The 12,908-nt window shown below is 44.6% G+C and overlaps 1 protein-coding gene across 2 annotated transcripts in view, besides 1 other annotated feature; it reads left to right on the forward strand.

Moving 5' to 3' along the window:
* PTDSS1 (phosphatidylserine synthase 1) overlaps positions 1 to 12,908 on the forward strand; it is a 75,094-nt gene that overhangs the window by 44,432 nt on the left and 17,754 nt on the right. For both annotated transcript variants that reach the window (NM_014754.3, NM_001290225.2), the window contains 2 exons: positions 111 to 223; positions 3,224 to 3,289. In NM_014754.3, the coding sequence (NP_055569.1) occupies positions 111 to 223; positions 3,224 to 3,289 (179 nt within the window). The remainder of the gene's footprint in view (positions 1 to 110; positions 224 to 3,223; positions 3,290 to 12,908) is intronic.
* Positions 6,519 to 6,578: an enhancer, noted in NCBI's record as "active region_27664". NCBI's record gives its function as "activates an Ori minimal core promoter by ATAC-STARR-seq in GM12878 lymphoblastoid cells {active_cell/tissue: GM12878}" and the evidence as "EXISTENCE:reporter gene assay evidence [ECO:0000049][PMID:35858748]".

Raw genomic sequence — 12,908 nt, forward strand, 5'->3', positions numbered from 1 at the left:
AATGCTTTGAACATACCAATTATTTCTAATTGTAGAATGTCTATTTAAGGAATAGAGGATTTTGAATTAGCATGAGGTACCAGGTTGACTAATTTCTCCGTCTTTTTCAGCTGACTGAGTTGAATACCTTCTTCTTGAAGCATATCTTTGTGTTCCAAGCCAGTCATCCATTAAGTTGGGGTAGAATTCTCTTTATTGGTGGCATCACAGCTCCCACAGTGAGGTAATTCTGCACAAGCCTGACTGTCATATGAGAACATTAACTTGCTTTAGATTGTCCTGTTTAGCATAAGGAAAGTCATATAAACTAGCAGATTTTCCATGAAAATACCATCGTAAAGAATTGTACATCCAGAATATGACGAAAATGTTTTGTTCTCAGATGTCAGTAACATTAACCAGACATTTAAAAAGAGAAGCACTTGATGAACACCACACCAATAGTACTATCCATTATTATCAGATTCCTTTACAGTCTTGGACTGCCGATCTTTTTTTCTCCTATAACATCATATTAGAAAAAAATAACAGCATAGTGATGCTGAGTTTTTTAAAAATGAGATTACTGGAAAAATGCAAATGTTTTTATGGTAGAACTGAAGTCATAAATGACATTATTTTTTGAATGAGACTTTTAGCTTTTTCAGACCCAATTAATTTAATTTCCTTTTAAAAAGGCCCTTCCTGTAGTCCTCCAGGACAACTGAGATAAGCTTGGGTGTTCCCGCCATTATTCCCCTGGATTAATGTGGGGCCCTAGAGGTGAGGCTTATTCAGACACCATCCCTCAAGTAGACTGGGCCCAGTGCAGTTCAAAGCAAGCATTTTCATTTGTTTCATTTTTCCTATTTAGAAATGGCATTTGAGTTTTATAACTAATACGGAATACTGGCATTAATGAGTAGCAACACCAAAGATCTGCCAAAGGTACAAATATAATTTAAGCAGTTAAAAGAGTTAGCTTTTCAGAAGCTGTAAGATTGTTTATTTCATTATTTTTAATGTGCTTGCAAACCCCATAAGCAGCGGGCCTCACTTGCCAAGGACAGTAGATCTATACCTTGGTCAAACAGACCTTCCAGCCAGCACCTCTTCTTGTCATCATTCAATATTACCAAAAAAAAAAAAAAAAAAAAAAAAAAAAAACCTCCAGATCCTGGATTCAACAAATCAAGTAAGACATGTCCAAGTCCTGAGGAGTTAAGCCTAACATTCCCATCTGTTCTTTTTGTTATGACCAAAATGGAAAAGAAGAGTAAGCCAGCAGCCCTTTGAAACTTCGTAGATTAGTGGTCTATTGCAGTCATTATCTCATAAATCCTGTTTTTTCTTAATGGTTTAGAGTCCCCATTTAAAATGTAATTTAATTTGAGACTTTACAATTTTTTTCAGGAAAGATTTACCGCAGCTCTTTCATAAAATTAAGAGCAATCAATAAAGTCAGTAAGAATGGAAAGAATTTTCTTCTTAGAACAAAATAGCAAATCGTATATGATTTATCATGAAATTTCAGTACTAAACATTCCAAAATAAAAACTAGACACTAAAAATCCAACGTTTTGAACTTTTGAGAGATCCTCAAAATTTTACAATGCCCTATGGATTTCTCCACAACTCTCTTTGTTTAAAAAATCAGACACTTCCTGTGCCCTTACACTGTTTGAGGCAGTTCCCATGTAAGGAGTTTCTTTGACAAGTTACTCGGAAAGATGGATGTGCTGCTAATGGATTTTAACACAGCCACCCCATTTAGCAAATGTTAGGTCCCGAGAGGAGAGAGAGTTTAGAGGCTTCAGTGTAAATCCTAACATCTCCAGCTTCTTCCTTTTTTATTAGACTTTCACACGAATCTGCTTTGAGAAGATATTTGAGTGAACATGCTTTTAATCTGATACTATAAAGTACAATATAAGGAAATGGGTCCAGTTAGAGTGTAAAGTAGCTAAAATGATCAAGACGTGTTAGGTCATGACAATATGAAGTTAGAGGAAAAGCTACATTCTTTATAATTAGAATTCTTCACTCTGGTCTTTGGGGTGAGACGACAGTAGTTTATGGATGAGCTTCAGGTATTCGTGAATCCTCTGAACTTTAATGCAAAGTGTTATGCCTTTCTTTCATCAAATCCTCAAAGAGTCAGTGACCCCAAAAAGATGATGAGTTCCTGGTTCAGGTGCTACTGCTGAAGGGGTAGATTGAGTTTCAGGGGTACTTACAAGACTCCAAGCCATGCTGTCCCACACAGAGGCCACTCACCACGTGTGGCTATTGAGCACTAGGGATGTGGTCACTCCACAATGAAATGTGCCGTGCATGGAAACTGCACACCAGACTTTGAAGAGTTGGGGCCAAAACAGAATATAAAATACCTCATTATAATGTTTTAATATATTTGTTTAAATATTAGTTTAACATATTAATAAAATGGATTTTGTATGTTCCTTTTTACTTTTTTAACATGTCTACTGGAGAATTTAAAATTGCATTTATGGCTTGCATTATATTTCTACCGGATGGTGCTGTTCTGAGCCTTTCAACACCATGTCATTGCCTGTTTTTTTTCTGAACTTGTCAGTAACATTCCAAGTCATTGGCATTCAATGGCAGTGAGATATAGCTGGGGTCCCATTCCAGTTTCTGAAAGCCAAAAATCTGTATATTTTTTGCCTGGTTACAATCAGCAACCTTTGTCCTGGAGAGAACCAGAGGAGACAACCAATGGACAGTACTGCTCACTCTCTGGAGTCACCTCCATGGAGCTAGACATGGAAACACCCACCTGGGGTTCCTTTGCAGCGCTGTGGAAGTCTTACCACTGAATCCAGACTGACTTTGTCAATAATCTGGCTCTTTTTAGTGGTTTTTTTTTTTTTTTTTTTTTTTTTTTTTTAGGCTAGTCAAGTGAAGCAGTGGGAGTGGAAAAGGAACAAAGAAATCTGTAAATGGTTGCGATCAGTTAGTTGTAAACACCCCGGCACTCAGACCAGACAAGAATCTGGCTCTTTAAATGATGCTCCCCTGCCTCCAGCCTAACCCAAACGCTGAATCTCTTACAGGAATGTTTTAACAGGCACTGGCTTTCTCTTCTCTTGAACAGAACTAGACCAGGCAGCCTGACATGGGACAAGGAGGGACGTTTTTTACTTTGTCAAAGTGATTTAATTATGTGCTGACTTGCTGGTCTTCCAGCAGCTCTCAATGAATTCCAACTTTGTTCTTTCAGACAGTACTACGCTTACCTCACCGACACACAGTGCAAGCGCGTAGGAACACAATGCTGGGTGTTTGGGTGAGTAATCTGTTATTGTGGAGATTTAAAAACCACTTAAGCCCTAATTTTATTTGGGTATTTCTTGACCCTGTGTTAAGAGCCTTTCAGTATAATTTTTCTATGAAGACAGGTGGACTAGATTTTATATATCTATATCTATATCTATATATACATAGATATATCTTTTCATCTTTAATATTCCCTTTTCTGATTTAAGTTAAGAATAGTTACTTGGCAAATTATAAAACAAGAGTATAGAAATGGCTCTCTTATTTTGGCCGGGTGCAGTGGCTCATGCCTGTAATCCTATCACTTTGGGAGCCCGAGGTGGGCGGATCACTTGAGCCCAGGAATTCGAGACTAACCTGGTCAACATGGCGAAACCCTGTCTCTACTAAAAGTACAAAAATTAGCTGGTTGAGGCTGAGGCAGGAGAATCGCTTGAACCCGGGAGGCTGAGGTTTCAGTGAGCCAAAGTCACGCCACTGCACTGCACTCCAGCCTGGGCGATAGAGTGAGACTCCATGTTAAAAAACAAACAGACAAAAAGAAATGGATCTCTCTCTTTTTTTTTTTTTTTGAGATGGAGTCTCACTCTGTCCCAGGCTGGAGGGCAGTGGCATGATCTCGGCTCACTGCAACCTCTGCCTTCTGGGCTCAAGTGATTCTCCTGCCTCAGCCTCCCAAGTAGCTGGGATTACAGGTGCGCACCACCACACCCTACTAAGTTTTGTATTTTCAGTAGAGACGGGGTTTCACCGTGTTGGTCAGGCTGGTTTCTAACTCTGACCTCATGATCTGACCCCCTTGGCCTCCCAAAGTGCTGGGATTACAGGCATGAGCCACCGCACCCGGCCTTGGCTCTCTTTTTTTTTTTTTAAATAAATTAGGAAATCAGATGGTATTTCCCACAAACAACTCTGAGACTTTGTTTTATGAAATACATTAGAGAGAAAATGGATTGGTTGCATTCCTTCTGGATGTATCTTGAGTTTGGAATGCCATCCTGTCATGGGCTGACCCACACCCCATATTATTGTCACATCAAAAGGGCCCCTTGGAACAGCTGCTTGCTATATACTGAAGTATAATTTTATTGTTCCAAAGAGTACTAACATACAGCAGCATGGTCACAATGGTCTTGTTATGGATTCAAATGTTATATCTTTTTTTTTTTCTTTTTGAGACGGAGTGTTCTGTCGCCAGGCTGGAGTACAGTGGCGTGATCTCGGCTCACTGCAACCTCCGCCTCCCAGGTTCAAGCGATTCTCCTGCCTCAGTCCCCCAAGTAGCTGGGACTACAGGCGCGTGCCACCACACCCAGCTAATTTTTGTATTTTTAGTAGAGATGGGGTTTCACCATGTTGGCCAGGATGGTCTCGATTTCTTGAACCTCGTGATCCACCCACCTTCTGCCTCCCAAAGTGCTGGGATTACAGGCTTGAGCCACTGCGCCCGGCCTTAAATGTTATATTTTAATTTATTATTTAACTGATGAGAAAGAGACCTTAGGTTATCTAGTTTAACCTCTTGCTGTTAAATGTGAGACCCTCTTGAATATCTCAAGTAAGTTGTTTTTCTACTTAACATCAGCAACAATTTACCATCCCATTTAGTGACTGAAATTCCAGAGACATCCAGCAAATCTGTACATGAAGTTCAATCCCCAAGGTGGCTTAGCTTCAAGACCTAATCGAGGTTCTAAATGGAGTATGAGAGTATAAAGAAAAATTGAGGAAAACCCATTATAGAGAAGAAATTACTTTTCACAGATTTTTAAACAGGACATTCTTCCAATTAAAAAGTAATACATGCACAATGATAAAAATTCAGAAAAGGATCTAGAAGGAACTAAAGATCACCCAAAGAAGTCAACCATTTAGAGATAATCATTGTTAATATTTTAATGTCATTCCTTTCCATTTTTCTGTGTATGTGTGTGTGTGTTTCCAGCTGTCATCTAGATTCTGAAGGGTGACATAGTTTTAAAGGCTAAAAATGTTGATACTCAGGTTAGATTTAGGCAGGTTCCTCCCGACCCTTAGAAGACTAAGGGCCATTGTCATTTGTTTCTCTTAGGTTCTATGGTGTAAGCTGATTTTCTTACCCAAAGTGGTTTGTTGTAAAAGGTGATAAGATGGATTTGGTTTCCTTTGTTCATGATATAGCAGGAGGGAGAATTCACACATCTCCCAGATTTCTGACAGCGCAGAGGTGGCGCTCCCGCTTCATGTGTGAGGGCCCTGTGTACTGGAAGAAGGGATGTGGGCCCCTCCTTCTAAAGGATTGTCCAAGGAGGAAATGGTCTTTCCTTTTCCTGCATTTGAGCTCTTCTGTCCCACTCACACATTCTTTCCACGTGCATTTTGCTTTCATATTTAAAAGTCCTTAGCAAGGTCCTATTATTCTGCTGTGGAGTGGATTTTTTTTCCACAGAATTGTATCGATTTACGTGTTGAGGGAAATAAGTGGGTCAGAGAGAGAGGTCGCATCATGACAAAGTTTCTTTCTAATTGGACAGCCATGAAACACCATCCCCACGGTGGGAGAAACGGCAAAGGTAAACTCCACTATGGCGGCTCACGCCTGTAATCTCAGCAATCCAGGAGGCTGAGGTGGGAGGATCGCTTGACGCCCGGAGTTTGAGACTAGCCTGGGTAACATAGCGAGACGTTGTCTCCACAAAAAGTTTTTTAAGTTAACCAGGCATGATGGCACATGCCTGTAGTCTGCTACTGTGGAGGCTGAGGCAGGAGGATCACTTGAACCCAGGATGTCAAGGAGGTCAAGCCTGCATTGAGCTATGATTGTGCCTCTGCACTCCCACCCGGATGACAGAGCAAGACCCTGTCTCTCTCTTTTTTTTTTTTTTTAAAAAAAAAAGGAAAAAAGTAAACAATGCCAAAGAGTGGTAAACACTGCCCCAGAAAGTTGTGCCTTATTTGAAAGTGATTAAAATATACTGAAATGCAAAGGAGAGATCACTGGGCTTAGTGTGCTTTACTGAGAATTGAGAACTCCCGGAACAGTGTGATACCGAGATTGAAGACTCTTGTGAGAACCAGTGAGCTATGCTGAAAAATAATAAAGCCCTCCTCATAAATCACACCCAGTGGATCCTCCTGTGTGCGTGAACAGCCGTGAGAGCTGCCCCCTGCACAGTCCACTGCCAGCCAGGGAAGGTGAAACAGGAGCCACAGCCTCCTGCTCTCCTGACCCCGGAGGCCACCCACTTCCTTCCTCTGCCCCAGCTCTACCTCCCTGCCATTTTGTCATTATTTCCTCTCCTATCAAAACAGAAAACACTGAAGTGTGTGGTTTCCTTTAATCACTAATAGCTGCTTTATAGCTTTCTTTTCACTAATTTTGGAATGATCTCAGACTTTGGTAAGGTGGAGAAATGAGAGGGAGCAGTGCCTTAAATAGTGACTTTCTGAATGTTGCCTTTTGGGAGGTAGAAAGGGGAAGGCAAAGGTCAAATAGGATCACCCGCCTGGGGTTCTTTCCCAGCACTCCACCCTTTTTCTCCTGAAGAGGGTACTTTCTCTTCTATAAAGATGGTATCCTCAAAATGTTTTTATGAATTACTTGCTATTGTAGCTAAATACATGTCATCCCTAACGGTTGTGCCATAGACTGAGCTTTTAAACCTTTTATACGAAAGGTGTTGCACTCAGCAGAGAGAGGGCGCCATCCAGCAAGGGAATGGGATCCCTAACAGAGAGAAAGCAGCCGTGTGGAAAGGTCGGCTGTTTCTCTATTTAGATGTCACATGATGTTCCTTCAGCTCGGTGGGAGTTTTGGGGCCAGACTGATGTGAACAAATTCTCCAGGTGTGGGGTTTATGTCATCTTTGTCTTTTCCCCATTCCACCCTGATTAGAATTGAGCTTCTCTGCCTCAAAAAGAGAGTATTGGCCCAGTTTAAATAGAAGCAGTGTTTTATCGCCTGGTCCTGGGAGGAAGGTGGCCAAGCGTCGGCTGAACAGCAGTGCACAGTTGCTTTTCCTCTTCCTGGGAGTGCATGGGGTGGGCCCTCATGGGAGAGTGAGCCTACCCTGCCTGAGGGCCCAGGGCTGCATCCTGCCTCCCAGAGGCAGCCAGAGCTGCTCCTCACCCGACCAGTTTCCTCGCTGCCTGTGATCCCACCTCTGCTAATGTGTCCATCACAATAAGTTCCCACCTCTGCTGCTCTCCAAGGTCAGCTCCAAACCAGCCAGTCCTTTCCTCATCCTCTTCTTGGATCTTCTGCACATTATCTGCCTTCTTGAAACTGTCCTCTTTCCTCTGCAATATCTGTCCTGTATTTCCTCTCACTTTTCTGTTTTCAGTTCCCTTTGCTGGCTTCCCATTCTACCCCTCTCTCCTCCTTACAATTTCTCATAATTGTGGTTTTGTTCTTTTGTTCTTCCAGGCCCATAGTTCAGGCTTTCTTTCTTTTTAAATTTTATTTCTTTTGAGACAGGGTCTTGCTGTGTTGCCCAGGCTGGAGTTGAGTGGCAGTGATCACAGCTCACTGCAGCCTTGACCTCCCAGACTCAAGCAATCCTCCCACATCAGCCTCCTAAGTAGCTGGGACTATAGGCACACACCACAATGTCCAGCTAATTATATTTTAGTTTTTGTAGAGACAGGGTTTCACCATGTTGCCCAGGCTGGTCTTGAACTCCTGGACTCAAGCAGTCCTCCCACCTTGACCTCTCAAAGTGATGGGATTACAGGCATTGGCCACGGCACGCAGCCTAGACTGTCTGTCTTAAGGGTAGATGCAACTATGAGCATGAGCTTCCTTCTAGGGAGAGGGTGCAAACACAGGGGAACAGATGTTGGGAGGGGGGTCCCTTCCCAGCACAGGGGAGTCACCGCCGTCCTGCTGGTATAGCTTTATAGCCAGTTCCCCTTCTCCTCGTGACTGTGTCTGTTCATCCTCCCTTTATCTTGCCACACCCCACCCCCTGCACTCAAGTGCACCTCCACTGACATCTCAGAAGCTCTGACAGTAGTTACATTTGAGATGGAGTCTCACTCTGTCGCCCAGGCTGGAGTGCAGTGGTGCCATCTCGGCTCACTGCAAGCTCCGCCTCCCGGGTTCATGCCGTTCTCCTGCCTCAGCGTCCTGAGTAGCTGGGACTACAGGTGCCCGTCACCTCGCCTGGCTAATTTTTTGTATTTTTAGTAGAGACGGGGTTTCACCATGTTAGCCAGGATGGTCTCGATCTCCTGACCTCGTGATCCGCCCACCTCAGCCTCCCAAAGTGCTGGGATTACAGGCGTGAGCCACCACGCCTGGCCTACAAAGCTTTTTTTTAGCAGCCGATCCCCTTTCTTCAAATGGCATCTTGCCCCAAATCCTACTAAGTATCTAAACGAGTAAGCAGAACAGTTCTGAGTTTGCCATCCAAGACCCGCTTCTCCCCTTCCCTCCTTGTGCCGGGGATTCTTTGGAAGTTAGAAAGTTGACAGGAGCACAATAGGAATTGTATCTATTGTTTATGCCACACTTAGCTCTTGCTTCCTCCAAAAAGGTGTCTTTGCCCACCCTAATCAGAACTAGAAGCTCACTCCTGAACTTGGAGGACCCTTCCTGGCATCCTGTGTGATTGTGTGGTCATTGAGTTAACATGGATACACATCTCATTTCCACTATTGGAGGCTGGGCCCTGGCTGCCAGGAGAGGGGGTCTCCCACACTCTCAGCCATCCAGGGATTGCTTGTGCAGCCATGGAGCAGTGCGTGTGGGATGCAGCAGCCAGGTACCCGGCCTCCATGTCCATGGCATTCCTGTGGCATCCTCAGAATCCACGTGCAGGCTTGTTGGCAAGCCAAAATCTCTTCTTCTGCTTCTCAAGTTTGGCTCATACACCCAGCTCACACACACGAGCCTAGAGCTTTCATGCCCCAGATTCCTACAACAACCCTGCCACCATGCCTGTTCCACTCAACTCACCGAAGAGCTCCTGACTCTGGGCTCTACATTAACATCATCTTTTTTCCCACATTGTGGAACTGGCTCCACAAGTCGGGGGTGCTGGGAGTATGTGCACCAGTAACCAGCCCTAGGTCAGGAATCTCTAGTGCCTGCTCCCAGCAGAAGCACCTCAGGCTGCCCAAATGTTTATTTGCCTTTTAACCCTGCTAAACCAAGATACAGGATGGTGGATGGCATCAAAGGGAGTGGAGGCCCTGACTGAATTCCATTAAGCCACAATTTGTCCACCTAGCTTAGCCTGGGAAAGATCAGAGAGATTTAAATTGAACTGAGTAAAGGGACCTATTGCTGAGCTGTGCGGAGGAAACCCCAGCACCCCTGGGGGTGAGGAAGTAGGAGGAGGTATGTGTTCTCACACTGGCAGGCTTAATACAGGCTCCCGCTGTGCTGAAGCCTCCAGCCTCAGCCCTAAACTAGCCACTCTTTGAGTCTTGGTAGAAAAGTAATGTCAGCCTTCTGGAAGGGTGCTGTTGATTGGAACTCCCTCCAGTGGGCCAGAGGTAATGGTGGGGGCGATGGCTGGTGGTTAAAGGAGCCCATGTGATCGTTGGGTTCCTACCACTTCTCACCATCTCCACAGCCCTGACCCGGGTCCCCATGTCTGGATGAGTACAGTAGCCTCCCTGCTTCTGCTCTTGTCTTCTCACAGAGTTCTGTTCAGCCAGCAGAAGGTTCTCGAATGTTCATCACCATGCTGTTCACAATAGCAAAGACATGGAATCCACCTAGTGCCCATCAGTGGTGGACTGGATAAAGCAAATGTGGTACATAGACACCATGGAATAATACACAGCCATAAAAAAGAATGGGATCATGTCCTTTGTAGCAACATGGGTGCAGCTGGAGGCCATAATCCTAAGCAGGAAAAGAAAACCAAAAACCGCATATGCTCACTTAAAAGTGGGAGCTAAACATTGAGTACACATGGACATAAACATCAGAGTAATAGACACTGCTGACTACTAGGGAGGGAGGAAGCGGGGCATGGGTGGGAAAACTACTTGCTGGGTGCTACGCTCACTACCTGGGTCCAATATACCCATGTAGCATTCCTACACATGTACCCCCTGTATGTAAAATAAAAGCTGAAAAAAATTTTAAAAAAACATTAAGCAAACTGGCCAGGCGAAGTGGCTCACTCCTGTAATCCCAAGCACTTTGGGAGGCCAAGGTGGGCGGATCACGAGGTCAGGAGGTCAAGACCATCCTGGCCAACATGGTGAAACTCCATCTCTACTAAAAATACAAAAAATTAGCCAGGTGTGGTGGCACACGCCTGTAGTCCCAGCTACTCAGTAGGCTGAGGCAGGAGAATCACTTGAACCCAGGAGGTAGAGGTTGCAGTGAGCTGAGATTGCACCACTGCACTCTAGCCTGGGTGACAGAGTGAGACTCCGTCTAAATATATATATATATATGTATGTGTATATATATATGTGTCTATATATATGTGTGTATATATATATGTGTGTGTGTGTGTATATATATATGGAGAGAGAGAGAGACAGAGAGAGAGAAGACTGTATTAAACCCTCTGCTCTAGACCCTCTAGGATCCCCTCAGACTAAAAGCCAAGCCTACGGGTGGCCTTCCAGGTCCATGTTACCCTGACCTCAACTCAGCCCTTTCCCCTGATTCCTGGCCCTTCCTTGTGCCTTTCCCATGCCCAGGCCTCAGTCTGGGACTCTCCACACTTATGTAATCCCATAGCCGGCCCCCTCACCTCCTCCTAGCCACCTTCTCATGAGATGTGCCCACACACACGGACAATGGCTTAGCTAAGACTCCTCAGCACATTGGCACAAATCATATCCTTAAGTTGCTAACTCAAAAGCACGGTCTTCAGAAAAACTTCAGGTTGACCAGGTGCAGTGGCTCATACCTGTAATCCTAGCACTTTGGGAAGCTGAGGTGGGTGGATCACTTGAGCTCAGGAGTTCGAGACCAATCAGGGTAACACGGTAAAACCCCGTCTCTACAAAAAATACAAAAATTAGCTGGGCGTAGTGCCGTGAGCCTGTAGTCCCGGCTACTCGGGAGGCTGAGGTAGAAGAATTGCTTGAGCCTGGGAAGTGGAGGTTGCCATGAGCCAAGATTGTGCCACTGCATTCCAGCCTGGGCAATGGAGTCAGGGCCGGTCTCAAAAAATTAAAACAAAAAAACAGAAAAAACTTTAGGTCATTATGAAGCCAGTGATTGGGTTCTGGCCAGTATTTTCTTAAAATGAAACAGAATAGAAAAATATCAGAATAAAGATGCAAATTGTCTTATGAAGCTTTTGTTTCAGTGTGTGTGTGTGTGTGTGTGTGTGTGTGTGTGTGTGTGTGTACACGCATGCGTATACTGGATCACAGTGAAAATTGTGTTTCTTGCTATGGTTCTTAATGGGTCTTAGATCACAAAAGTTTGAGAAACACAGCTTTAGTCGGCCAATCAGCATGCTTTTAAAAGGGCCCTCAGGCTGGCTCATGCCTGTAATCCCAGCACTTTGGGAGGCTGAGGTGGGTGGATCATTTGAGATGAGGAGTTGGTGACCAGCCTGGCCAACATGGTGAAACCCCGCCTCTACTAAAAATACAAAAATTAGCTGGGTGTGGTGGCAGGCGCCTGTAGTCCCAGCTACTCGGGAGGTTGAGGCAGTAGAATTGCTTGAACCGGGAGGCGGAGGTTGCAGTGAGCCGCGATTGCACCACTGCACTCCAGCCTGGGTGACAGAGCTAGACTCTATTTAAAAAAAAAAAGATAGAGGGCCTCAAGTCTAGTTGAATATTCAGAAATCTTTCATAATAAACTCAGGGTGTTCTGTCCGGCTTATGGGTAGATAATCACACTTATGTCCTGGGCTCAACACTCCCATCATAGGAGTTATTCACGAAGTCCGAGCCAAAGATGAAATCATCCTTTTTATGTCTCCTCACTGCACAGGCTGGAATACCAAACATGTAACTGCCACCTAGCGTCTTAATCACAGTCTAGACTTTAGAAGTACAGTGAGAAAACCTTCTGGGTTCCTCCACTGAAATGATACTTTCTCACATGTGACATGCTTTGTGGAGCAGTGCTTTAAAGATTCAAGCCAACCACTCTTAAACCTTGTTTTGGTTCGGGCTAGGGGAAAAGACAGCCCCAGACTCTCTAAAGACAAATTGAGGAGAATTTCTGTTGATTTTTCTGCTTTGCTGAAGTGGTTCTAACTCCAGGCATTTAGACCTTCAGTTGTTTAGAGCCATCTACACTTTTGATGATGGCAGTGACCACTATGTCTGCCAGTAAGCAGGGGTACCAAGGGCCTTCTTGGCCCCTTCTTGCCTTTTTTTTTTTTTTTTTTTTTTTTTTGAGGCAGAGCCTCACTCTGTCGCCCAGGCTGGAGTGCAGTGGTGCCATCTTGGCTTACCACAACCTCCTCCACTTCTCAGGCTCAAGTGATTCTCCTGCCTCAGCCTCCCGAGTAGCTGGGACTACAGGTGTGTGCCACCACGCCTGGCTAATTTTTGTATTATTGGCAGAGATGGGGTTTTACCATCTTGGTCAGGCTGGTCTTGAACTCCTGAGTTCAAGTGATCCGCTCGCCTCAGCCTCCCAAAGTGCCGAGATCACAGACATGAGCCACCATGCCCTGCCCCTTCTTGCCTTTTTAGAAAACATCTGT

This window comes from Homo sapiens, chromosome 8, assembly GCF_000001405.40.
Source record: "Homo sapiens chromosome 8, GRCh38.p14 Primary Assembly".
Taxonomy (NCBI): domain Eukaryota; kingdom Metazoa; phylum Chordata; class Mammalia; order Primates; family Hominidae; genus Homo; species Homo sapiens.